General features: G+C 48.8%; 1 protein-coding gene and 1 long non-coding RNA gene across 7 annotated transcripts, besides 5 other annotated features; both read left to right on the top strand.

Moving 5' to 3' along the window:
- SPRY4 (sprouty RTK signaling antagonist 4) lies at positions 257-14,848 on the top strand. 6 transcript variants are annotated; one of them, NM_030964.5, is made up of 3 exons: positions 257-434; positions 5,484-5,534; positions 10,123-14,848. In NM_030964.5, exons 2-3 carry the CDS (start codon positions 5,513-5,515, stop codon positions 11,067-11,069), a joined length of 969 nt encoding a protein of 322 aa, NP_112226.2. In that variant the 5' UTR covers positions 257-434; positions 5,484-5,512; the 3' UTR covers positions 11,070-14,848. The 6 variants fall into 6 exon arrangements, with proteins under 6 accessions (NP_112226.2, NP_001120968.1, XP_011535987.1 ...); XM_011537685.4 differs by lacking the exon at positions 257-434 and adding an exon at positions 1,031-1,388; NM_001293289.3 differs by lacking the exon at positions 257-434 and adding an exon at positions 1,031-1,388 and having other exon boundaries at positions 5,484-5,545.
- Positions 332-1,294: an enhancer, noted in NCBI's record as "H3K27ac-H3K4me1 hESC enhancer chr5:141703549-141704511 (GRCh37/hg19 assembly coordinates)". NCBI's record gives its function as "activates a minimal SCP1, AML or CMV promoter by ChIP-STARR-seq in primed H9 embryonic stem cells {active_cell/tissue: H9 hESC(primed)}" and the evidence as "EXISTENCE:reporter gene assay evidence [ECO:0000049][PMID:30033119]".
- Positions 791-850: an enhancer, noted in NCBI's record as "active region_23318". NCBI's record gives its function as "activates an Ori minimal core promoter by ATAC-STARR-seq in GM12878 lymphoblastoid cells {active_cell/tissue: GM12878}" and the evidence as "EXISTENCE:reporter gene assay evidence [ECO:0000049][PMID:35858748]".
- Positions 1,295-2,259: an enhancer, noted in NCBI's record as "H3K27ac-H3K4me1 hESC enhancer chr5:141702584-141703548 (GRCh37/hg19 assembly coordinates)". NCBI's record gives its function as "activates a minimal SCP1, AML or CMV promoter by ChIP-STARR-seq in primed H9 embryonic stem cells {active_cell/tissue: H9 hESC(primed)}" and the evidence as "EXISTENCE:reporter gene assay evidence [ECO:0000049][PMID:30033119]".
- Positions 4,942-5,686: an enhancer, noted in NCBI's record as "NANOG hESC enhancer chr5:141699157-141699901 (GRCh37/hg19 assembly coordinates)". NCBI's record gives its function as "activates a minimal SCP1, AML or CMV promoter by ChIP-STARR-seq in primed H9 embryonic stem cells {active_cell/tissue: H9 hESC(primed)}" and the evidence as "EXISTENCE:reporter gene assay evidence [ECO:0000049][PMID:30033119]".
- On the top strand, positions 6,956-7,658 carry SPRY4-IT1 (SPRY4 intronic transcript 1). Its single transcript, NR_131221.1, has one exon. It is a non-coding gene; the product is annotated as an SPRY4 intronic transcript 1 (long non-coding RNA).
- Positions 13,859-14,360: an enhancer, noted in NCBI's record as "H3K4me1 hESC enhancer chr5:141690483-141690984 (GRCh37/hg19 assembly coordinates)". NCBI's record gives its function as "activates a minimal SCP1, AML or CMV promoter by ChIP-STARR-seq in primed H9 embryonic stem cells {active_cell/tissue: H9 hESC(primed)}" and the evidence as "EXISTENCE:reporter gene assay evidence [ECO:0000049][PMID:30033119]".

Genomic DNA, 26,944 nt, shown 5'->3' with positions numbered 1-26,944 from the left:
AAGGCAACAACAGCCTCCACTGGAACCTCCACCCCTCTTTGTAAAAGAACGACGGCTCCTGGTGGAGCTTGAGCCAGTCCCAGCAATCACGGGTTAAGATCTTTTCCCGCCCCCCATTCATAAAAAAAGGAGCGGAGCGCATGCGCGCTCAGGGTCTGTTGTGCCCACCCATTCATAGAATCGCGAACGGCACGCGTGCGCACTGGCGCTCCCTTCCCTCCCATTCATAAAAAAGCCATTTTCCCAGGCAGTGGTTGCAACATCGCCGCGGAGGTAGCGAGCTGAGCTGACAGCGCGGAGCTGGCGCTGTGGAGCGCAGGGAGCCTTGCCGGTTCCTCCGACCGGCGTCTGCGAGTACAGCGGCGGCTAACCTGCCCCGGCTTCAGGATTTACACAGACGTGGGGCGATGCTTGTGACCCTGCAGCTCCTCAAAGTAAGTCCATGGCTGGTTTGGAGATCTGAAACTGCCCCTCTCTGAGCCGCGACGCGACTCCCCCCTTGGGCTGGGGCAAATGGTGCGCTATTTCTAGGCGCGCCTCAGTGTTCCTTCCCTCAGCCTGCGCCTCCTTGAGTCGCTGCGGTGCGCCGCAGCTCCCTGACGCCCTCGGCCCGGCCGGCACGGCGCCGGGGGTGTTCACAGCCTGGCACCGCCGTTTCCGACCCCTGGGCATTGCCAAGCCCGGCTTCCCCGCCCTCTGAGACTCGGGAAGCCCCGTGCGTGTCCCGGGAGTTTGCCTCTGGCCTGGCCTCTTTCCTTCTCCTGCCACCATCCGCCTCGAACGCTGGAACGGGCGTCTCTGGGCTTGGTCAGGAGCCACCGTTTGGGTCGGGGGGCGCCCTCGCTCTGGGCGGCTCGCCCACCTCCCAGCTCGGTGCCCACGGTGCCAGCTTTGCCGTGTATCTCCCAGCCCGCCGTAGCGGCCTATGCTCGACGTAGATTTTTTCTTTCTCTTCGGAGCCGTGACGGACTGAATTCCCTCCCCTTCTGCCTCTCCCTCGATGGTCAGCGAGGGGCTGGCTCAGGACTGGGCATTCCTACTCCCTCTCCTTGGCGAGGCGGTTCCTCGCCGTCTGACCTTTGCTCCGCTGCCGCATTTTATGCTATGCAACTGCCTTGCAGTTGACTTTTTCTTGCCTGGCCTCTGTAAGGCCTGAGGCTCCTCGGCCACCCTGTACCTCCCTATCCTCGGGCACCGAGCTGTGCCAGGCCCCGGAGCCCCCAGGCCGCGCTAGGGCTGCGGTGGGGGTTGAAGGTGCGTTTACATAACACCAGGCGTGTGGGAGCTGGAGGAAGAGGTTGCGAATGTAGGAGAGATAAGGCTCCTGCTTTCCCTCCTTCCTTCTTGGTGGTACCAGGCTTGACATCACAGAGAAGAGGATAGAGACGGTATGTTCTGACAAATTCTGAATCGCCAAGACCCCGGGGACAGTGAGCTGGGTGAGGGCGGGTTTGGCTAGCCAGGGCAGCTAGAGCTTGGCTCCATCACTGGGTCCAGGGCTGTGCCCAGTTCCCCCTCCATGCAGACGATCAAAAAGCATTTAGACAGTAGCTGCTCTTGTGCAAGAAGACGGTTTCTCAATTCTCCTTGATTGGGGGCAGGGGGTTGTGGGCAGGAGAGGCAGGGGAGACAGAAAATGGTTGCGTGGCTTATAGGGCTGAAGGATGGGCAAGAGAGGCGAAATGGGCTGGAGGGGCTAGATGGTAGGCAGAGTAGGGAGCTGCTGGCTGCCTCTTTCACCAGCTGCTGGAGGGGCATCCATATTGCCAAGGCCTCTGTGAGGGCAGGAGGCCGCCTTCTGGCGCAGCAAGGCTTCCGTACCCCCCAGCGCGGTTAGTGCTGGAAAGAAGAGTGTACAGTGGGGTGCCCAAACCTAGTGGCATCCCCTTCTTTCCTGCCTCCAAATCAGTGGCGTGATTCTCTCCAGTTTTGGGAGAGGCCAGACACACTGGAGGCCAAAGAACTTGCAGAGGGGCGGGAGCAAGCACTCGTCTGTGTCTGTAGCTGACCGAGGCACTAACCTCCCTGACAAGTCTCTCGGGATTCAAAGCTGGAAGGTATAAGGCTCAGAGAAGTTGGGAACTGCGGGTTTATCAATCTCTTAATGAGCTCAGTCTGGCCTGAGGCCCTACCCAATATTGCACTGGTGGATTTCACAATGTTTGGAGTTCTCCAGATCTTCACACAAATGGAGCATAAACATCTCTGAAATTTTCAGCCTTTTTTTTTTTTTTTTTAGGGCGGGTGTCAGGAGAGCTAGGAGAGGCAGGGCTGCAGTTAAAGATTTCTCTTTCTCTCTCCCTCTCTGTCTCCCAGAAGGGTGGGAAAGAACTAGTGGAGATGTCCAGTGTGAAATCACATTTCCTCTTTCCCATCTCTTGGGAGGGTTCTCACGTGCTGCGAGGCTCCAGCAAATCCTAATGTGGTGAACAGCACACACACTTACCAACCACGCCATGTGGCCAGTACGGGTGTAGGGTGGGGATTTTAGTAGCAGATTTCTGAAATCTTCATGGACAAATATTGGTCAGTTACAGTGAGCAGACTTTAAAGGCATCTGTTGGTTATCAGGAGTCACTCCCTTTCAGTGGAGTGTAAATGCCCTCTTGCCCTTAGCCCTCCTGCCCAGCTCCATGACCTTTTCCAGATCACCCTCTGAAATGGCCTCATCTCACTGAAGCTTTAGTTGGGGGCTGGTGGGAGGAGACAGAACACATAGTAGGGCAGAGGCTGTGGACAGGTGGACATTTGGAGCTTACGGATGTCGTTTTCATTTATATATATATATATATATTTTTTTTTTTTCTTGAGACGAGTCTTGCTCTGTGACCCAGGCTGGAGTGCAGTTGCGCGATCTTGGCTCACTGCAACCTCCGCCTCCCAGGTTCAAATGATGCTCCTGCCTCAGCCTCCCAAGTAGCTGGAATTACAGGTGTGTGCCACCACACCCAGCTAATTTTTGTATTTTTAGTAGAGACAGGGTTTCACCATGTTGGCTAGGCTGGTCTCGAACTCCTAAGCTCATGATCCGCCGGCCTCTGCCTCCCCTGGGATTACAGGCGTGAGCCACCACGCCCGGCCTCATATGTCATTTTTATCTGCATCCTCCCAGAATTGGCGGAGAGATGTGGCTCTTTGGAAATCTGTCCTGCCCAGTTCGCACCCACCCATGACCCCAGCCCCAACTTTGGTAAACCAGAGGTTTGGCTGACTTTCGTGAATAATAAATGAAAGCAGCCTTTCAGTGCCAAATTTGAAAATCAGTGATATAAAAGTTAAGAGAGGAATAAAACCCATTAATACTTACAGAAGTGACCCTTGAGCTGTGTTGCTCTGGGATTTAATACTTTGGGACCATATGTGGGGATTCCAGTTTACAGGGCTGAATGTCTTGTTGTTTGACATCTTCTAGCTCCAAGATTTGTGCCCCCACAGTGTGTTTTTCTGTCCTTGGGCTATCCTGTTGATGAGGGCCTGGGTGTTGGTGCAAAGGAGGCCTAGGAAGGAGCCCTCCCTCTTTATTCAGAAAAGTCCAGTGTTTCTTGGAGAATCATAGTGTTCCATTTGGTTCTAAATCCACAGTGTTTGTCATCTGGCCTCTACTTAGGTGGCAGTTCCCTTGTGATGACAACCTGGCTAAGGATTCTCGCCCAGGCCTCTGAATTTGGAGACAAAGTTGAAAATTTGGGGTTTTGAATGTAGACATGACAGAGTTTTTAAGGAAGGGAAATGGCTAGAGTGGAGAAGGTTCTATCTCAGGGCCGACCTTATCTCCCTGAAAGGAGAAAGCAGTGACTCATTAGAATATGTTTTTGCTCTTTCAAAAGAGCCAGGGGTAGGTGAACAACTTTCAGAAAGCTGTATTGTCCCTTCCAGACCAAGCCAGGGGCTAGAACAGAGCAGATGTGTGACTAGGCAAACCTGCTAAGCATGGCCTTAGCTTCCCCATCTGCACAGTAGAGAAAATAAACTCTTCCCAAGGGGACAGAGGCCAGCAGAGCTGCTAGTGAGCGGCCAGGACTAGGGCCATGCTCATGGTTATTATTGGGCTCCTAGGAGGAGGGCCTAGTTTTAAGGGTGCCCCTTTCCTGCACAGGAGGTGTGGGGTGTTGCGTGATGTAAGAGGGAGGGTATTCTTGGCTCTCGGGGTCTGGGGCCACCCTGCAGATCCGGACAGCTGACAAGGCTGGGGAATGTATCCGGGACATGTGGCTGGGCTTAAGAGGCTCCACAGTTCAGCTGTGATCATGATTGTTCTTTCCAAGGACAGGCCCCAGTCAGTGAAGGAAGCAAGGGCACAGGGGAGGGAGCACAGATGTGCTGGATCTGGCGGAGAAGGGAAGGGGCCCTTCGGGGCAGGTGGCCACTTGCAGAAGAGTGGTTTCCCTTGTCAGTAGTCTTTTTTTGGTTGGGGGAAGGGGAAGTCATTTCCTGCTCCTGTCCCAGGAGTAAGCTAAAATCTATTATTGTAAGTTCATTTCTTGGTGGAGGGTAAGAAGACAAATAATAAGATCTTAGTGTCTGTGGGAGGAAGCCCTGCCCTAGGAGTCTAGGGTTCTGGTCCCACCCAGACCTGGACTTGGCCAGTAGTTCCCAAACTATGCCAGTGGTTAACAGGCTCCTTCTGACTCCTTCTTTACTGACTCTTGGCTTCTAATCCTTCTTTATGGGAATCTGAGCAGACAATTAAGGCGGTAATACAGTGAAGCAGAAACTCGAAGCTGATTAAATAGCCCAAAGCCCAAAGTCCAGCAAGATTCCCACCCTTCCGTGTGCTGGGGCTTTGGAGCTCAGCTGATTGGCTGTGAAAGAGAGAAGAGAAGAGGGTTGGGAATCGGTAATGTGGTGGGATGAAGTGATGAAAAACAACCGTTTTTTTTTTGTGATCTCTGACAGATTGTGGCCAGAGGTGAGCTTCTTAGTGCTGGTGCTGGGGGTAGGGAGGTGGGGGAAGGAAGAAAGATTCATAGACAAATCCAGCTGCCCAAATGCTTTATTCTTCCACTGGGGCCATTCTCAGCAGAGATTGTCTTTCTTTGCAGGGTATAGGGAGGGGCAAGTCCTCTGCTTCCCTCAGCATCCCTCCCCCTCTTTTTAAAGTCCTTTTAAAGCAATAAGTCATTATTTGGTTGTAGCTTAATTAGCTAAACTGGAATAGTGTCACAAAGAACCAAGCAATAGTGGTGGGCAGGCTCTCTGGCAGCCTAGAGACCTTTATTCTGAGTTGTTTAAAGGGTTAAACAGCCTTCACTGAAAGAACCCGCTGAGACTGAATGGGGCAGTGCTTAAACTACCCATTCATTCACAGCCTCTTGCCAGTTTGTCATTAGCTGACCTGTAGCTTTCAAAGTACAACTGTCAGGTTTTCCCAATATTTCCCAACTCACCTCCCTAGGGTAAGTCAAGGGGAGGGTGTGGGTGGGTGGGATTAGGCATCCTGCTCAATTGTGCGGACATTTAACATGCCTCTTGATTCTTTTCAGCCAGCCTGTATTGAGCGGTTTGCAGCCTGATGCTCAGCCCCCTCCCCACAGGTACAAATGCAGTGAGTGTCAGACTGGCTGGTTCTGGGCTCCCAGACCCGCCAAGCAGCAAATACAGTGTTGCGCGTGTTCTGGGGATTTTGATATCCTGCTGATTCAGTATTCTAGGACTCTCTGTGCCCTGGCTCCCTCCCTTCCTCACAGACCTGGGCCAGGGACCCCATCAATGAAGGTACCCTAGGGACCCTTAAGTTCAACTTGATAGGTGGGGAGGAGTAGAGATTCCTTTCCACCCCAGGGTTTCCTTTTGGGGACTGGTTTGTAATAAACTCCTACAAGTGAAATCCATTCAACTATAAGAAAACTAAAAATGAAACCACTTTTAAGACGGGGGATGGCATGTAACACTGAACTGGAGTGAAGAGCACTTGAACTCTGAGCCTTCCTTGAATGAGAGAGATTACAAACCCCCACAGCCTTCACTCTCCACATTGAAAATTCCCCTCCCTGGGGTTCAGGCTGATGTAAGCCCCATCTGGCTTTCCTTCCCTGTTGGTTGCATTGCAGAGCCCCAGGATGTTCTAATGATGTTCCGTGAGGGCTGGAGGAGTCCATGGTTGTGAAAGTGATGGCACTTTCATGCCTTTCCATAAATTCCCAGAGGTTATGGAGGGCTTTTGTAAGTCAGGGCTGAGAGGTTAATATTTCAGCCTCTGAAGCCTCTGCTGTCTTGGTTCAAATCCTGCTCTGGTCACTTGCTAGCTCTATGACCCTTTGTGCTTCCATTTCCTCCTCTGTAAAATGGGTTCTCTCTTGAAGTATGGTGAGGATTAAATGACTTGATTTATGGTGAGAAAATAAATCACTGAGGGCTTAGCACGGAGCCTGGCACCAAGAAATGTTTCGTAAATATTAGCCGCTTCCATAATTATTATTTATTATTATTAGAAGGTTGAGTGGAGGTAAAAGTCCCTTCCCTCTTGCCAGTTCGTAAGAGTACCACCTAAACTTGATAGAGGTGCTTCTTTGGCTAAGTGGAGTGCTGGGTTTGTTTCTCTGTCCAGTGTCTTCCAAATTGGCCATCAGTCTCTTCCAAACTGCTTAAATGAGGCAAAACCTCCTCTCTCTTATTTATATTATAAATCTCTTACTACCTTGCAGGGGAAGCAGGGAGCACATATTAAATTGCACTTAAGATTGTCAGCATTGCTCAGAGTGGAGGGTGGGTGTTTCTCAGTGAGTAGAGATTGATCTACCAAATCAACTGAGAGTTGTTTTTTCTTTTTCTTTCTTTCTTTTTTTTTTTCTTGAGACTCAGTCTTGCTCTGTCACTCAGGCTAGAGTGCAGTGGTGCGATATTGGCTCACAGCAACCTCCGCCTCCTGGGTTCAAGTGACTCTCCTGCCTCAGCCTCCCAAGTAACTGGGATTACAGGCACCTGCCACCATGCCTGGCTAATTTTTGTATTTTTAGTAGAGATGGGGGTTTCATCCTGTTGGTCAGGCTGGTCTTGAACTCCTGACCTCAAGTGATCTGCCTACCTTGGCCTCCCAAAAGGCTGAGATTACAGGCATGAGCCACTGCGCCAGGCCTTCTTTCTTTTCTTTTTTTCTTTCTTTTTTTTTTTGAGACATCATTTAGCTGTGCTGAGGGGTTCTTAAATAGGCAGCTCAGAAAATTGTTTTCCTTTGTCAGCCACATAAATTCAGCAGAGGCTCTTGGAGGGTCCCTGCTGGTGAGGGGTGAGGCCAGCAGTGGAACTCTGATTTGGTTTTTGCTGAGCTGGTGGTTGAAAGGAATCCTACTACATCGGGGTTATAATAGGGAAGATACATTTTAGAATATGCCCAGTGGAGCCATCGGATGCTGCATCGTCCCCAGAGAGCCAAGTCATCGTGGGCCAAGCTCCCATCCCCATGTCTGGCCTCAACTGCAGGCCCAGATGTTGACAGCTGCCTCTGGAGGGTTATGGGAGCCTGTGAATGCCAACATCCCCATTGCCTGCAGCGGCTGCTCCCATCCTGGCTTCCTGGTGGGACTTTTCCATGAATTGGGGAATCTGCTTTCTGATTCCAAGGCCTATTAAAATTTCTGAGCATTGCCCATTTCTTTTGCTTTATCTGTAGGACATGGGCTGTTTTTAAAGAACCTCACAAATGAAAAAAAAAAAAAAAAGTGAATCTGCTTAAGGAAAGGGAGTCTTTTACTTTCTTCCACAGCATGACCAGACCCAATCCTGGTCCTGAGAGACAAAACCCAACTATATGGGGCAATAGAAGCTTCAAACTGCTGCCTACATTGTGTTGGCAGGACCCTGAATATTCCTGACATCGGTTTCTGGAACAAGGGACTCATGTTATCATTGTCCGGGGGTGAGGGTTCTGGCTGGTGCTGGAGAATCTTATCCGTGGCATTTTTAATTCTTAGGCCAAGCCACACCCTTTCCTCCAGGCAGCGTCCTCAGTGCTGGACCTTGGGCTCCTAACCCTGGCCTCTTGCCCCAAACTCATTTATTCTAGAAGCAAGGCTTTGGAACACCTATTGAGAATAAGTGGGCAGGCTGAGGTAGCATTCCCTGGAATTCCTACGTTGTCATCAGCCTGATCCTTGGAAAAACTCCTCTCCATAGATGCTTACTTGCATTCCCTCTCTCCAGCCCTGACCACAGGATCTCCAGGGGAGGCTGCTTTGGCAAGTGGCTACTCTTTGGTGGCAGACCTGCCAGACACTTAAGGTAAACTCTGCCACAAGGAAATCGCCAATTCAAAGGTGATGCTATGGTTTCATCCGAAGAGAACATGGGGGCAGGCACTGCCACTAGGTAGGCTTTCTCCAAGACAGGAAAAACAAGGCGTGTAAAGAAATACCAGCATCCTTTTAAGTAGGCAGGGCCATGGGAGCAAAGCCAATAGTTGATGCCCTGCGTGAATGGGAAATATCAGTTGACTGAGCATTGAACCTCGCAGAAAAGACTGGATGCTTTTTGGATTTAGCAGTGTAAGTGATATACATACTGGAGCCCCGTGGATAGCCCCCTTTTTATCCCCTTCATAAACTTTTATCTAGAGCTAGCTTTTTATTTTAGACAGGTTCTAGATAAACCTAACAGCAGAGGGGCAGGATCAGCTCTCCTAATTAGAACATCGTTAGCATCTTGATGCAAATTTAGTAAATGCAAAAGCATTTACTAAAACCCCACCCCATAATACATTAATGCAATGGCCTTTTTTTGGTTTTGTTTTAAAGACTTATCTTTCTCTTTTACCCTCCCTCCCCATTCCCTGGGGTTCTTAAGATTGGGGTGGAATCTTCCCAGAGTGTAATCTTTCCCTTGGATTCCAAATTGTATCCCCTTGAGCAGAGGTCTTGGCCTTCTGCTGCTATTTCTTTAAATTGATCTCCAGCAGAATTCCAAATGTAAAGGTCAGCAGGCAAGGAAATGGCACTTCTAATAGAAAACAATGTGCACTTTCTAAATTTGAACCAAGCAGTTTCCGCTCTTTGATTTAAGTGACTTCCTGGGGTTCCGTGTCAGGCACTGCAGTTGAATCTCTGGCTGGATTCCAACTTAAAATTGCACTCTCTCGGTGAAATTAGAAACTGATCCAGGGTTGGCTTAGCTACTCTAGTAAATAGCATTTAGGCTGAATGTTCAGCTCAGCACTTGGAAATGGGTGATGTGAGTGCCCCTCGAGAGGATTTCCCATCCAAGTTGTCAGAAGCTCACATACCCAGGGATTATTAGCCACTGCAGGTTGCTGCTCTTAAGAAGTGGTAGTAATAAGTTAATATCCTGGATGTGCAGGCATCAGATACAGCCCTTCTCTTGTGAATATCTGAAATAAAGGGCTTGTTTATCCAGCTGATAAACTCCATGGGAGCACCCAGAGCTGTCTGTTGAGTTCACCACATTGTCCCCAGTGCCTGGCACAGTGCTTGGCAGGCAGTGCTTGTAAGTGCTCAGGAGATCTAAACTTATTCCCTGGGGTAGCGATAAATTGTTGCTGCGTGCCAGGTAATATGCTAGGTAATAGATAGTATTTTCTCATTTAATCCTTGCAAGAGCCCATTTTACAGATGACAAAACCAAAATCTAAGGCATAGAGATGAAAGAACTCATTCATAGCAATATTGCTAGACCAAAGTGAGAGTCAAATTTGAGTGTTGTTCCAGAGCCTGTGTTTACATCCACTGAGCTATGTGTCTTAAATAAGGAGCATGTTTCACAGTGACTAAGAGAATGAACTCAGGCTGCCCAGGTTTGAGTCCTGCTACTGATAGTTTTGGATAGTTTTGTGTGACTTTGGACAAATTAATTTCAACATGTCTTTTCTCTAAATAGAAAAGGGGGATAATAGTAGTTACGTTTTAGGCTTATCATGAAGTCAATGACTTAATGCATATGGTGCTTAGGAGAGTACCTCCATCTTAAGTGCTCAGTAGTATTATTTCCACCACTGACTTCTTGTCATTATTAATCATCTTAAGCTTGGGGAGTCACTGGAAAGTCCACAGAGGGATTTTAGTTCCTATGTCAATTGGGCGGCTCCCAAGGACCTGATGGGGGGTGAGGTATTGGCAGGCCACATACTGATGCCTGGAATCCATTCTCTCTTCCTTTTCCCCACCCCACCCCCAGGGCCCCTAGAAGCCTGTTTCTCCGTACAGTCCAGGACCTCCAGCCCCATGGAGCCCCCGATCCCACAGAGCGCCCCCTTGACTCCCAACTCAGTCATGGTCCAGCCCCTTCTTGACAGCCGGATGTCCCACAGCCGGCTCCAGCACCCACTCACCATCCTACCCATTGACCAGGTGAAGACCAGCCATGTGGAGAATGACTACATAGACAACCCTAGCCTGGCCCTGACCACCGGCCCAAAGCGGACCCGGGGCGGGGCCCCAGAGCTGGCCCCGACGCCCGCCCGCTGTGACCAGGATGTCACCCACCATTGGATCTCCTTCAGCGGGCGCCCCAGCTCTGTGAGCAGCAGCAGCAGCACATCCTCTGACCAACGGCTCTTAGACCACATGGCACCACCACCCGTGGCTGACCAGGCCTCACCAAGGGCTGTGCGCATCCAGCCCAAGGTGGTCCACTGCCAGCCGCTGGACCTCAAGGGCCCGGCGGTCCCACCCGAGCTGGACAAGCACTTCTTGCTGTGCGAGGCCTGTGGGAAGTGTAAATGCAAGGAGTGTGCATCCCCCCGGACGTTGCCTTCCTGCTGGGTCTGCAACCAGGAGTGCCTGTGCTCAGCCCAGACTCTGGTCAACTATGGCACGTGCATGTGTTTGGTGCAGGGCATCTTCTACCACTGCACGAATGAGGACGATGAGGGCTCCTGCGCTGACCACCCCTGCTCCTGCTCCCGCTCCAACTGCTGCGCCCGCTGGTCCTTCATGGGTGCTCTCTCCGTGGTGCTGCCCTGCCTGCTCTGCTACCTGCCTGCCACCGGCTGCGTGAAGCTGGCCCAGCGTGGCTACGACCGTCTGCGCCGCCCTGGTTGCCGCTGCAAGCACACGAACAGCGTCATCTGCAAAGCAGCCAGCGGGGATGCCAAGACCAGCAGGCCCGACAAGCCTTTCTGACAGTTTGTGTCGAAGCCCCAGTGCTCTGCCTGGAAACCTGGTTCTCTTCTGACATCTAAGAAGACTGCAGCAAGGTCAGAGGTTTTAGCCTCCTGAGGCTGACCTTGCTAGTCTGCCCACTCCCTACCCCCAGCTTCGGAAAATACAGAGACCACCACCACGTACCCTGTATTCCCCAAGGTGATGAAGAAGCACTTTGGGGCTTTTTTTCAGGGTCCTGAAACTTTGTGTCAAACAGACAATGCAGGGGCAGGGTGTGGTTTGGGGGGAAATTTTTCTTTTTCAGAAGACAGAACACAGATGTGGACACATATCCGGAAACTGCAGCTGCTTGAATGCCTTCCCAGCCCCTCCTTCTCCCTCCCTCCCTCCGCCCCCCCCCCCTTCCTCTTTTCCATTGTCTTTGGCTCTCACAGGAGCTAGCTGCCTGGGAGGAATTGTTAACTGAGTACCAGGGTACCTTTAAAGAAGACCCTTGGAGTCTTCTATACCTTCTTCTCCTTCCCCATCTCACTCCACCCCACTTTGTCCCTGATGTCTTGGGGAAGGTGTAGAACACCCTAGCAGTTCCTATTGTATATACTTGGGAGCCACTGAGAACAGAGGACGGCCAGTGAGTCCAAGCCTCGTTCCTCCTTCTGCCTCCCCGGAGCCACAGGATGGATTTAGGAGCCACTGCTCAGTGCACTTCTCCCTTCCAACTGCATCAACTAACTCTCGGGGGTGTTCTGCTCACCACACCGTCCTTCGGTTCTTACTGAGTCACAGACTCGCCTGCCCACTACGTGTCCTGGGTTCTCTCTACTCAGATCCCTTCCAGAAACTTTATATGGGTAGAGGAAGCCAGGGCGGCAAATGCGAGACCAAATATCATTTTGCCAATGAGTCTGAGGCTGTGGTCTCTGGATCCAGTCATTATGTTTTTATAGAATAATTAAACCGGATGCTAACGGTGTTTTAAAAAATAATAATAAAACAACTTGTTTCCTTTTGGCCACCCCCAGGAAGGGCTGATTTCAAAATCTGGGGGCGAGCAACCTCAAGGAACACAATTTCCCTCCCTATCAACAAGAGGATTTTAACAGCAAAGAAGAGAGGCAGCACCTCCCATTGGCAGAATGACCGCTGAGCCAGGCTGGGTTTGGGTTTCTTCTCTTCTGATTCTGCTGCTCACTGTCATAGCCTTTTGTGTATAGTGATGTGTCTGTATCTTTAATGTAAATAGAGAGATGATGAAAAAAGAGTCTATTTTAGTGTTAGGAAGCCCCAGCAGGGGAGTCGGAAGAGCTTGGAAGAGCTGGGGAGAGGGTAGGGGAAAGGTTTTTCCAGGGGCCACTGGGTTTGAGCCCTGCTTCTGTGCACAGCCACACCACCCTCTCCCGACAGCCCTCAAAGACGTAGCAACTCTTTCTCTCAAGGTGCTAAAGGACTCAGAAGGTGCAGCACGTCCAGTGGGTAGGTACTTGTTGCATGCAAAAGCTGTAGTGTATCTGGTCCTTCCTCCCCAGCTTTTGTGTGGGGTTCTTGCTTTGTGTGGTATTTTGTTTTCCCCTCTAATGAGAGGGCATGGCCTGAGTCAGAAGAGCTACCCCAGGTGAAACTGGAAGTGCATGAGGCAGAGCGTCCGTAGCATTTCCAGTTTGTTCTGTATAGGAACAGAGGTGCCTCCGGGAAGGAGGCAGCGAGGTAGGTAGCTATGATAGGCACCTAATGCTTCTCAAGGACTTATTTTTTCCTTCTTGAAGACTAGTAGTAACATCTTATGATTTAGAGTAAGTTGATTGTAACCATAGGTATTTATTGATTGGAGGAAGGGAGGGTCATATTATTTTCGGCTTTATTTATGTAACATTTGCTAGCTTGTAAAAGGCGAATGTGAAATATTGCATCTGCATTTTCCAAGGCTGATTCGTGTAGCTACCCTTGCCACAGTTGTGACGGATGTATGGATGTTCTTGAACATTTCAGAAGGAGTGGTAGAAAAAAACACACATTCAGCCAACCACTTATATGAATTGAATGTATCAGAAGTGTACTGAAGGGACTGGAGATGGTTTTCCTCAGATGAGGGGGCCCCAAAATTGATAGTGCACATCTGCACGCTTTCTGCGAGGCCTCAGAACTTCCCAGGGCCCCTCCCTCAAATTGTCTCCATGGGAAACTTGACCCAGTGGCAAGTTGCACTTTGGTGATCTTGGTGGTCTACACACCCGTTCTGTGGAGAGTCGATTTACATAAGCTGTGTATACACACACACACACACACACACACACCCCTACCCCACACTGACTGTCTACCGACAAAGACCCTATTTCCTGGCAAACGGCCTCCTGAACCCTGACTTTTTGTGTACATACTTGTAAACACGGATTTTTCTGGGTTTTGGTTTGCTTTTTCCTTTTTTCCCCCTGCCCCTGTTCTAGCTTGTTCTTCTTGGTTTGCTTTCAACCTGCTTGATGGATGTCTGCAGAGTGCTCTCTAAGAGTCCACCTCAGTGCCTCGTGTGCTCAGTGGTCATGGGAAAGGAGCGAAGGAACCATCCTTGGTTCTCCCAGCTTGGTTGTGTAGCAATCCCTCAGCATTGTTTTTCTCAGCTTCTTGGCAAAAATTAAAACAACAACAACAACAACAACAACAACAACAAACAGAAGGATAAACTGGCTTGCCTGTGGACCCTCCCCGGCTCTGGGGCCAGTCGAGAGCCACTGAGGGACCCAGCACTCAGAGACACAACACACATGTGTAGCTGCTTCTGGCTGAGTGTGTTTCCTGTCACCAATGGCCTGTTTGGCTGGACGATGCCTCGGCTTGACCTTTTTTGAAAAGTGCTGGTTAGTTCCCGCCCCTGGTAAACCTGGGGTAGGTGGGGGTTCTGTCTTAACTCGAGGGGCACCTGGGATCCAGGACGCTTCTAGGGGGCTCTGGCTGCCCGTGTTAATGAAGGACAGCGCTTCCGCGAGCACCCTGGGAACTGGGTCTTGGGTAGCAAAGCCCTCCCAGAGAAAAGATTGGGCACAACTAAGGCTTTCCTGAGCAGGAAGGGGGTGAAGACCAATCCCTTCCTTTGGTCCTTTGGTACGCACCCCCTCAGAGCTGAGATGGAAGACATGGCTAGTTCTTTTCAGCCTTGTGGAGCCTGTCAGTCGCCATCATACCTCGAGTGAGGCCCAGCTAGATAATGACTTGTCCAAGATGGCACACGTGGAAAGTTGATCTGCACCAGAACCCGGATGACTGTCACCTTGAAGCATCCTGTTCTCCTTCTGTGCTGTCCCAGGAAGTGTCTGGCGGGCGTGGGCAGCACAGCTCTACACTGTACGATTCACTAGGGCATCCTGCGAGCCTCACTAGCCTTCTGGTTCATGCCTTTGACAAGCATTTTTGTGCCCCCTCTGCTTACTGTGACAGTCGATGATGAATCTTGCGTTGCCATTTTCTGCTGTGGGTAACTGCGTGCAGTGTCTTGCCTTGCTTTCTCTTCTTACTGTCCCACAGCTTGGTTTCATGTTACAAACAGAAAAGCTCGAGGCTCCCACCCCGCCACATCCCAACTTCATTTCCCCCTCACTGTAGCCCATTTCCACCCCACCACAAAGTTGCCACAGGTTTTCTTTGTATAGAATATTTATTTTGAAGCTCTATTTTAATAGTATTTATTTTAGAAAGTCTACTATTGTAAGAGTTCTTCTGTTTGTGAAGAAAAAAACAAGTTAAAAACTGAATGTACTGATTTAGAAAATATATATAAATATATATTGTTAAATATACACGGGACTGCCGTTTCTGGTGTGTTTGTGTGTTTACTTCCCTGACCTCTTCAGCCAGCAAGGCCTCAAGTTTGAGAATAAGCAGCCACTGAAAGGGGAAGAGAAGATAGGGCTTCCTGGGCTGGGCAATCCCTTCTCCCAGCTCTAGGACGACCGTAGAACCATCGGAGGAAAGCTGCTCTTCATTATGAAGCGGAATACTGCAAGGAGCTGCTAGAGCCTCCTTCCTGGGAAAGCTGTCCCCTAAACTGGAGTGTGCTGCAGATGGACAGCAAAGCTCCAAAACTGGGAAGAGGTAGAGGGGGAAAAGTGTCATCTGACCTGTCCATTCCTCTCCCTTTATGTCCCGATTGCCCCCAAAGCAGGTTTTCACACACATGAACACACAACATACATGCTTCAAGGAACTAAATAGAAAAGCCCTTGGTCATTTCCGTATTTTCACAGGATTGGTGCATATTGCACAAAACTAGTCCTTTTAGCCTCGAAAGCCTTCCATCCATTTCATGACCTTCTAATGTACCTTCCTTCTGTTTTTTGTTTTGTTTTGTTTGAGACAGCATCCCAGGCTGGAGTGCAGTGGAGCGATCTCACTCACTGCAACCTCCACCTCCTGTGTTCAAGCGATTCTCCTGTTTCGGCCTACTGAGTAGCTGGGATTATAGGCACGCACCACCATGCCCGGCTAATTTTCTGTATTTTTAATAGAGACAGGGTTTCACCATGTTGGCCAGGCTGGTGTCAAACTCCTGAGTTCAAGTGATCTGCCCGCCTCTGCCTCCCAAAATGCTGGGATTACAGGTGTGAGCCACCGCGCCTGGCCAGCATCTTGCTTCTGATTCCCTCGTACCCCCACCCCTGACCAGGGCACTCAAACTTTAGACCCAGCCACTTCTCAATTTACATAGCTATGGGAACTTTTTTATTTTTCCAAGACAGAGTTTTGCTCTGTTGCCCAGGCCGGAGTGCGGTGGCACAATCTTGGCTCACTGCAACCTTCCACCTCCCAGGTTCAAGCAATTCTTGTGCCTCCCGAGTAGCTGAGATTACAGGTGCGTGCCAGCATGCCCAGCTAATTTTTGTATTTTTAGTAGAGACGGGGCTTCACCATGTCGGCTAGGCTGGTCTTGAACTCCTGATCTCGTGATCCACCCACCTCAGCCTCCCAAAGTGCTGGGATTACAGACATGAGCCACCACACCCAGCCTTTTTGTGAGATGGAGTTTCACTCTTGCTGCCCAGGCTGGAGTGCAGTGGCGCAATTTCAGCTCACTGCAACCTCCACCGCCCAGGTTCTAAGCGATTCTCTGGCCTCAACCTCCCAAGTAGCTGGGACTACAAGCACACGCCACCATGCCTGGCTAATTTTTGTGTTTTTAGTAGAGACGAGGTTTACCATGTTGGCCAGGCTGGTCTCGAACTCCTGACCTCAGGTGATCCGCCTGCCTCGGCCTCTCAAAGTGCTGGGATTACAGGCGTGAGCCACCGCGCCCAGCCCACTATGGGAACTTTTTAATGACCTTTTATTCATATGCCAATCAGGATGAAAGTTGGACTTTATTTTGAACATGTGAGCACGTACCTCGTTTTCCAGAAATCAATAGTTTTTTTTTTTTCTATTACCAATAATTGGGGGGAAATAACCAATAGTGAGGGATGGGGGAAGAAAGGGGAGTGGTAGAGACAGATCAGGAACTGTGGGTCTGGTTCTTGGTTTTTCTAGGGGTTACCAATTATGGCCTCCCAGGATCCTTTGTGAAATCCAAACCTTGAGTTCCTCTTAAGAGACATCCAAATGCTTGCCAGGATCCCCAGACACTGCCCAAGAAGACACAAAGGATGTTCTTCAATGTGGGCTTGTCTGCTCTAGAACTTTTAGAATAAAGATAGGCCCTGACCTCCCGCTCTGTGGCCAGACCATGTGGCCTGTCCCATTCCTGCAGTGTGGACCAAGGTTAGGTAATGCTCCAAGTCCTGCTTCACTGACAAGGTAAGTCACTGGCACTTAGAGATAATCGTCTTTTTAATTGGCTCAGTCCCAGTTCGTGTACACCACACTTTGATTCAGTCTTGGGTTTCCTTATGGGTGGGCACATGGGGCAGGCCTACCCCTGGTTCTACTTTAACAATTTCTAGTGCTTGGAGATTAAAAACAATGACAAAAATCTATACAAGGGTTTGAGTGCTGAACGTCTCAGGCACCCAAATGCTCTTGGGGAAACAGGAGCCAAGCAGTATCCAGAGAAAAAGTTCCACATGTGCCCCTCTTATCTTTATCCCTCTGGCCCCATGCCTTTGGTTCCCAGTTATCAAATGGCGTTGGAGTAGTAATAACGGCCATCATTTATTGAATGGCTTCTTTTCTCCAGGTACTGAACATCCATGGCAGACGCTATTCTTTCCCTCTTAGAGATGCAGACACTGAGGCTCAGAGAAGTTGTCCCGCACCCAGTATGTGATGGAGAGGTAGAGGGTAAAAACATCAACTGAAGGATTTAGCATTTGGGGAAGAAGGAAGAAGCCCAAAATGGAGTAGATCAAAGGCTCCCCCGTGAACAAATTTAAAATTAAGGAGAAAGAAGCAGAATTCAGCCTTCTCCACACCCATAACCAAACAGCTCCTATGAAGGCACCAAGCCTGACGCTCATCCCAATAAAAAGGAACGATCTGGAGAGAGGGGCAGCCGCTGGTGACAAGAGAACCCCCCAGGCAGCCTCGTCATCTGGCCAGGAGTCCCTGGCTCCCTCCTACAGCTCTCCAGACAGCCTTTCCCACTTGCTGAACCTGCAACTTGAAGTGAGCTCCACTTTCCAAAGTAGGTTTGTGAACCAATCAAATGAACCCAGGCGGCCAGCTCCATGCTGGAGGTGTGTGCCAGATGAAAGCCAAGAGGACATTTTTAAGAGCCTTAAGTTTATTCATCGGAACTTTAATAAAACAATATGTCCATGGCCTAGGGCAGGTATAATTTTCATAATTTATGGGTCTGTGAGACAGGAAGAGAGTTTGGGGTTTTATTGTGTTTTGCACGATAAATGGCATTCCAATTGTCTACATGATGTTCTTTAAGGACTCTTGTCTGGCAGGAACACAGGCCTTCTGGAGCCCACCTGGGCCTTGAGGCCTGAGGCAAGGGATAATTATGAATACATCTGTATGTGTTAAGCAGGAGATGATTGAAAAACTCCCTCTGTTCCTTCTATCATTAGAAGACACTTCCTATGCTGACACCTATATTAACATTTAACTGTTGCAAAGGTTGGAACCCTTCCTGTTCCCTTCCTCTCCCACCTTCTCCTCCCTTAGGCCTGCCCTTTTCTTTCCTGTAACTGAAGAGACTCAGGTAAATTTCTCTCGATTGGCTTCCCTCCCACTGGGCATGGTGGAGGGGGTGACTTGGGACTCTGAACCAAAAAAAAAAAAAAACAAAAAACACCATGATCTACAGAAGAAGACAATGGAGCTCTAGGTAATGTGTTTTTTTGTTTGTTTGTTTTTTGGTGTTTTTTTGTTTTTTTTTTTTTTTTGAGGCAGGATCTCACTGTCATCCAGGCTGGAGTGCAGTGGCATGATCTTAGCTTACCGCAGCCTCTACTTCCTTGGCTCAGGGGAACCGCTCACCTCAGCCCCTGAGTAGCTGGGACTACAGACATGTGCCACCATACCTAGCTAATTTTTTTTTTTTTTTGGAGAGACAGGGGTCTTATGTTGCCCAGGCTGGTCTTGAACCGCTGTTCTCGAACTCCTGGCCTCAAGCAGTCCTCCCTCTTTGGCCTCCTAGAGTATTAGGATTACAGCTGTGAGACACTGTACCCCACCTGGGTGATGTTCTAATTAGAATCAGCAGTTAGATTGCTTCTATAATATTAATAAGCCCTCAGGTAACAGTGGCCAAGTGGCCTTATAAAATAATCATTACAGTAATTATCACTTCTGAGTACAGATGCATTATCATTTATATACATAGAGAGACAGAGAGAGAGAGAGAGAGAGAGATGGAGTCTCATTCTGTCACTCAGGCTGGAGTACAGTGAGTGGCATGATCTCAGCTCACTGCAATCTCTGCCTCCCAGACTCAATTCTTCTGCCTCAGCCTCCTGAGTAGCTGGAATTACAGGGTGAGCCACCCCGCCCGACCATCATTTACAATCTTGAAAACAGTCAAATTAGGTTGATATAATCAACCCCATTGTATAGAGGAGAAAACCAAAGGTCGGAGAGATAAAGTCACTTGCCCAAGGCCACACAGCTGATAAGTGGTAGACCTGGAATTTTAACCCGAGGATATGCCTCCAAAGTCAGTGCACTGCTCGCTAAGGCCCCCTCTTTGAGATCAATTCAATTCGCACCTGCCCTGGGTTGCTTTCCTGTGTCCCCAGAAAGAGGCTTCCTTCCCACTTGTGCTTCTATAGAAGTTGATAGAATATGTAGTTTGTTTCAACAAATAACACATAGACTAATCAAGATAGGACTTGAGCCCAGGTCTAACCACTGAACCACAACAACGCTGTTCTCAAACTGATCTCAGGAAGGATCTTCTATTACCACACGACATTGCTTTTGGCCAGCTTTCCTGATTTCTTCTACAACAGAAAGAATAATTTGGGCTGTGATGGCCAGAGACTATTTGGGGAAGGGGCAATAATCTTACAGAGAAGAGAGGGGGCTGTAAATTGCTTCAGATAATTCAAAAAGTCAGGGTCTGGCTGGGCATGGTGGCTCACACCTGTAATCCCAGCACTTTGGGAGGCCGAGGCAGACAGATCACTTGAGGTCAGGAGTTCGAGACCAGCCTGGTCAACATGGTGAAACTCTGTTTCCACTAAAAATACAAAAATTAGCCGGGCATGGTGGCAGGTACAGACCGCTGCTTGAGTCACCACTCTGCTACCTTCACTAGCTGTGATCTTGGGAGAGTGACTGCCCTTCTAATAATAGTTGGCACCAATAGTAATCCCAACTACTGAGGAGGCTGAGGTGGGAGAATCGCTTGAACCTGGGAGGCAGAGGCTGAGTGAGCAGAGATCATACCACTGCACTCCAGCCTGGGCAACAGAGTAAGACCCTATCTCAAAAAAAAAAAAAAAAAAAGTCAGCATCTGGTGGCTTTGTGGAAAAGATGTATTACACAGAGACAGAGGGGTGCAGGCCACTCCTGCTCTTCCAGGGGCAAAGACACATTCCTCCTGTGCCAGCCTTGGAGTCAGATGGATGGGGCAGGACCAGAGAGCCAAAGCAGCTGGGGTGCAGTGGAGGGGGTAGGAGTTGGGGAACCCCATGTTACAAATAGTGCTCCACTCAACCCTGCCAGGCCACGCCTTGACCATTTCCCTGGCCAGCCCTGGATTACTAAAGCACTCTAAGATGCACCTCTAACAGGATTCAAGAACTAGTGTCCATCTAGCCAGGGCCAGTTCCCAGAGTGTGCCTGGCATGGGCCTTGGTGCTCTCTGAGAAGTGACTGCTCCTTCCACGGGCCACTCCTCTTAGAACAACATGGTGGGGAAGAGCGCACAGAGCCTTACAGCCCGCTGCGTGGGCCACTGCTCTGCCGCCCTCATTAGCTGTGATCTTGGGAAAGTGGCTGCCCTTCTAATAGTAGTTGGAAGATTAGATTGTGACTTTGCACAGCACTCAGCCCAGCACTGACAACTGTTGTTAATATCTGAAAGACTGGAGAGCAGAGAATAGAAGAACTCGCCTCTCCTCTCCTCTTAGCCTCAGTTTCTTCATCTTCAGCCTGGCAGTCTGGACCACGTAGGCAGGAAGTCACAAGCTTTTGGCCCACAGTGTTTCAAAAACTGTTGGTTGTCATCATTCAGAAATTAAGAGGTTTCAAATTACGATGAAAACTTTTCTTGAAAAATACCGAGAGCTGCCCTGCTGGGCCCCCATTCCCTAAGGCAGCGATGGGCTAGAGCAGAAGGGCAGCTTCCCTTCCCAAACCAGGCACAGCCCTTCAGTCTCCTTCAGCAGCTCTCCCAGTTAAGTGCCACTGCCCAGTTCCCCTGGGCTGGGTGCCCGTTGCCATCAATCATTGTGTTTGCACCTTGATGTCTCTTACGCCTCGCCTATTTTCTCATTTCTGCTACCCGCTGGACTCTCCGCGCTTGATGCTGGCTGGCGTCAGGTCTGACTGGCCTCCTTGGGCACTTTAAGTCAAACCATCATAATGTCCCAACCCCCGTCTGGTGGCTTCCTAAGGATGCCCACCCCGCAAGCCTGTGACTCAGATGCAGTTTCCAGAGTCATCATCCCAGAAAGGACTGAGGTTGTAGAGGCCAGTGGTTCCTAGCCCAGAATTTGTCTGTGTGTTGAGGCATTGGGGGTTAAAGAGGGAGGACTGTTGGTGAACCTTTTGATATTATAGATAAAGTTCTGTGTGTTTGTGTGTGCTTTTTTTCTGAGGGACGCTTTCCAGATTCTCAGAGAGGTAAGTGGCCTCCCCAAAATGTGAGGGTTCAATCACTGGTTTAATCCACCTACTTCTGTTCTGTGGATGGAGATGTGAGACCCTGAGAGGAGACAAGCGGCTTGCCCAAGGTCCCACAGAAGCTTAGTTGCAAAGCCAAGAACAGCAGCCAGGTTTTCTATCTCTCTAGGAAATTGTGGTTTTATGAACCAATCTATAGCGTCTCCAAAAAAAAAATTCTACAAAAGTGACATCACCCTTAATGATGTATCAGTAACACTCCCACTTGGCCATACCCTGATTCTCCCTGTTCTGCATCTGATTCTTTGCCACCACTCCTACAGTGAACGGTGATTTGCTGACTTGTTCGCAGCCTGTCTGTTCCCCACTGGGGGATAAGCTCGATGAGAGCAGACAACTTGGCCTCTTTTGTCCACGACTCTAGTGCTTCCCGGCCTTCTTCACAATCCACATAAACGTGATATTTGGGTTGTCCACTGAGGTAAACCAACAAGTTAACTTCCAGGGACACTGATATCCAGGGGCTCTGTCCTCCCCAGGTCTCACCCACTGCCGTGAGAGTGGGGGACCAGTAATTTCAATATACCTCACATCTTTTGGGAAGCTTCCAGTACAGCATCTGGCATAGGAGTGGCAGATGCTCATTAAATGTATTCATTAAAGGTATTAATTAATGAATAATAAACTGAGAGGACAGTCAAAAGAGAGTTGGACATGTAGCCTTAAACTTTATTTCTGTCCTATAGCTATGGCTAGGACCAGGCACAGTGTTTCACACCTGTAATCCCAGCACTGTGGGAGGCTGAAGTGGGAGGATCACTTGAGCCTGGGGAGGTTGAGGCTGCAGTGAGCCAAGATCGTGCCACTGCATTCCAGCCTGGGTGACAGGGAGACCCTGTCTCAAAAAAAAATTGCTACGATTATGTAGCAGTGTTTCCACTGCATAGCCATAATGATAGCGATATAGTACCAGCTTCCAACTTGTATGGCTGACATTTAAGTATTTGCCATGTGCCAGGGTGCTGAGTACAATGTGAACCAACAAAGTGCTTTCTGTCCTTTTTTTTTTTTTTTTTTTTGAGACAGAGTCTTGCTCTGTCACCCAGGCTGGAGTGCAGTGGTGTGATCTCAGCTCCCTACAACCTCTCCATCCCGGGTTCAAGCAATTCTCCCGCCTCAGCCTCCCGAGTAGCTGAGACTACAGGCGCGCACCACCACACCCAGCTAATTTTTAGTAGAGACAGGGTTTCCCCATGTTGGCCGGGATGATCTTGATCTCCTGGACTCATGATCTGCCCACCTTGGCCTCCCAAAGTGCTGGGATTACAGGCGTGAAACACCGTGCCCGGCCAATTTTTGAATTTTTAGTAGAGACAGGGTTTCACCATGTTGCACAGGCTGGTCTTGAGCTCCTGACCTCAAGTGATCCACCTGCCTCAGCTTCTCAAAGTGTTGGGATTACAGGCATGAGCCACTGCACCCGGCTGCATTAGTACTTTTATAACCCCAGTTTTACAGATGAAGAAACTGAGGATCTAGAAGATGAAACCATATGCCCAAGGTTGTGTAGGCCTGACCCTAGACCCTTGCTTTTCTACCCAGCCACCCACCCATGGACACTGGGAAGAGGCATCAGCAGGGTGTCTTGTGGTTACCAATTATGGGGACGGTTGGTGTATAGGGGGAGAGGCCTGAGCCGGAAGCCTTGACTGCATTGTAGAATCACTCATGGGCTGTAAAAGGTCTTCAAAACCCGTAGTTTCCAAAACTGAACCTGGTAGATTCCCACCCCTTAGCTCCCTTTGTCACTTGCCTGTGATGAATACCTTTAAGAAGAATAAAAAGGAGGCCACTGTAGGAATTTATGCCATGTGGTTCTCCTGGCCCTTCTAAAGCATGTATGGCCACCAGACAGATACATTAAGGATCAGTAATGTCATGTTAAAATAACATGACTATTGCAAAAAGGAAAACAGCAGGAAAAATAAAACTCTCCCCACCGTATTCCCAGCTTTAGTGTAACACTTTGGTATATACCATGCATTGATTCATTTAACAAATAGTGAGCGTCTACTATGTGCTAGGCATTGCCCTTCTATCTTTAAAACCATACATGGGATCATACTGCACCAAGCCGTTCTGCAAAATGCTTTTTTCTGTGTATTGTGTAACATTACACATGGATATCCTTCCACACCTCTAGCTCCACCTTGTCTTTTATAATAGCTGGTATTGTGTTGTCGTTCATTTTATGGTCTTATCACCTCCTCTTTCTACCGCCTCCTGTGACAGGCTCTGCTCTCACACCCAGCCACAAACCTCACCTGGACCACACTAGCCACACCCGGACCACACTAGCCACACCCTCTGCTTGCCCTGCCCAGGAGGCCAGTGAGCAAAAACAGGAGACTTGTTGGGTCCCTGCATGAAGTGGGGTCAGGGGGAAGGGGCAGACACAGGGCAGGCTGTGAGGCACTGAGGGGCACAGGACGTTCCCTTTGCCTCAGAAGACCTGCCAAGTGCTATATCTCTGAATTAGGGCAAAATCCTAGATGGTGTGGGATTCACCTTAAAGATAACCAAGAAAATAAACAGGAGGAGACATAAAAGGATATTGCCTTTAAAATCCACAGTTTTGACTGGGCTGTAAGCTTCACATCTGCACAACTTGGAGTATTACACAGTGACCATCATTTATTTATCCAGTTCTTTCTTGTCACTCCCCTTCTTAAAACCCTCTAGTTTCTCCCTCCCCTTGAGTGTAGGCTGGACTTAGTAACCCACTTCCAAAGAACAGAGTATGAAAAGGAAAAATAGCAACTTTACAACCTGACAGATGCCACCTTAACCTGGTGAAGAAGGTTAAACATCACCAGTAATAAGTCATATTGGCCAGGCCCAGTGGCTCACGCCTGTAATCCTAGCACTTTGGGAGGCTGAGGTGGACGGACTGCTTGAGTCCAGGAGTTCGAAACAGCCTGGGCAACATGGTGAAACTCTGTCTCTACAAAAAATGCCAAAAAAATTAACCAGGCATGGTGACGCACGCCTGTATCCCATCTACTTGCGAGCCTGAGGTGGGAGGATCCCTTGAGCCATGGAGTTGGAGCTTGCGGTGAGCCATGATGGTGCCAGTGCACTCCAGCCTGGGCAATGGAGCGAGACCCTGCCTCAAAAATAAGAAGTCATGTTATCAGATACCCCTGATATCATGTGGTGAGAGGGACACTTCACCTCTGGTATTCTTTCCCAAGATTCATAATTTTAACCTAATCATGAGAAAACATCCAACAAACCCAAATTGAGGGACCGTCTACAAAATACCTCACCAGTACTGTTCAAAAGTGTCCAGGTCCTGAAAAACAAGGAAAGACGGACAAATTGTCACAGACTGGGAAAAACATGATAAGTAAATGTTTTCCTGGACTGGATCCTGGAACAGAGAAAGGCCAGTAGTTGAAAAACTGGTAAAATCTGAATAAAATCTAGACAGGATTGTGCCAATGTTAATTTCTGATTTAGATAAATGTACCATGGTTTTGTAAGATATTAAAATTAGGGAAAGCTGGCTGAAAAATATAGGGCAATTCTCTGTACCATCTTTGCAACTCTTCTGTAAATCAAAAATTATTCCAAAATAAAAAGGGTTTAAAAATAATTAAAAACAAACAGGCCAAGTGCGGTGGCTCACGCCTATAATCCCCACACTTTGGGAGGCTGAGACTGGCGGATTGCTTGAGGTCAGGAGTTCGAGACCAGCCTGGACAACATGGCGAAACCCCGTCTCTACTAAAAATACAAAAATTAGCTGGGCATGGTGGTGCACACTTGTAATCTCAGTTACTCGGGAGGCTGAAGCAGGAGAATCGCTCGAACTCAGGAGACAGAGGTTGCAGTGACCAGAGATTGTACCATTGCACTCCAGCCTGGGCGACAGAGCAAGACTCCATCTCAAATAAATAATAATAATAATAAATAAATAAACAATAAACTTCAGTTCCTTCTCATTGGTTTTAGGAATAAAGTCAGACTTCTTACTGAAGCCTGTAAGACCCTACCTAATCTAGCCCTGGCTACCTCCATCCTCTCCCACCCTTATCTTGTGCCCCTTCCCACACCTCCTATAACTCTCTCAAGAAGCTAAGCAGCCCTTTCCTGCTTCTGAGCCCTTCCTGCTTCAGAAGCTCTTGCTGCTGCCAGGAATACTCCATAGTCCTCCACTCCCTTACCCACGGCTCACTCCTTCTTACCCTCAGGAAGGTAAGAAGGCCTTCCTGGGCTGCCCTGATATTCTCTTTGCTGTCCTTATTTCCTTTGCTGTCTTTTCCTTTGCTGTCCTTATTTCAATTTGCAATTATATCACACATGTGCTCATTACTTTATTTGCTATCTGTCTTTTCCCCTTCAAAGGCAGTTTTATTTTTATTTGCTTATTTTTTATTTATTTATTTATTTTTGAGATGGTGTCTTGCTCTGTCACCCAGGCTGGCATCTGCTCACTGCAACCTCTGCCTCCTGGGTTCAAGCGATTCTCCTGCCTCAGCCTCCTGAGTAGCTAGGATTACAGGCGCCCACCACCACGCCCAGCTAATTTTTGTATTTTTAGTAGAGACGGGGTTTCACCATTGTGGCCAGGCTGGCTTAGAACTCCTGACCTCAAATGATCCGCCCACCTCGGCCTCCCAAAATTCTGGGATTACAGGCGTGAACCACTGAATCAAAGGCAGTTTTATTCACTGCTCTATCTGCAGGTTCTAGACACTACCTAGTTATCCATATTGGTTATCACTATATTGACTATCAGTACTTTTTTCTTTTCTTTTAATGAATGAACCCCTCCCCCACTGATAGACATTTACATTGCTTCCACATTTTTTTGATCACAGCCACTGTGGCAGACACCTTGGTTGATAGCTATCCTTCATTTTTTATTGCTGCCCCACGTTTGTTCTGGAGTTCACCCCCTTCCCATGTGACTCAGGGAAGAATAACCCTATTCACGTCTCCAGCTGTAAAACCCAGAGGAGTCTTATCAAATGTGACTGTACCAGGTGTTGGCATGTGATGCAGTGCAGGCCGATGGGAGGTGAGGGGAAATCTAGGGGGACTTCTGGGAAGTTTCTTTGTTTTATTTTGTTTTTTTTTGAGATGGAGTTTTGCACTTGTTGCCCCAGGCTGGAGTGCAATGGGGCGATCTCGGCTCACCGCAACCTCTGCCTCCTGGGTTTAAGCAATTCTCCTGCCTCAGCCTCCCAAGTAGCTGGGATTACAGATGCACACGATCACGCCCGACTAATTTTGTATTTTTAGTAGAGATGGGGTTTCTCCATGTTAGTCAGGCTGGTCTCAAACTTTCGACCTCAGGTGATCCACCCACCTCAGCTTCCCAAAGTGCTGGTATTACAGGCATGAGCCGCCACGCTGGGTGAGCTGGTTTATGACTGGCAGCCAAAGGCTTCCTAACTTACAGAGCTAGTACATTTTTCTATTTCTTTACAAGGCTGGTGTTTAGAATTATCATAGGGTTGGGAAGGTCATAACTCATTGAATTGTATATATTAAATATGCACAGCTTTTTATATGTCAATCATACCTCAATAAAGTTATTGGGAAAAAATTCACCTTGACTATAAGTACAATAAGTCACTATTTTTTGTTGTTGTTTTTTAGAGAC

This window comes from Homo sapiens, chromosome 5 (genome assembly GCF_000001405.40).
Source record: "Homo sapiens chromosome 5, GRCh38.p14 Primary Assembly".
Classification (NCBI taxonomy): domain Eukaryota; kingdom Metazoa; phylum Chordata; class Mammalia; order Primates; family Hominidae; genus Homo; species Homo sapiens.
This window is presented reverse-complemented; position numbering and strand designations above follow the sequence as displayed.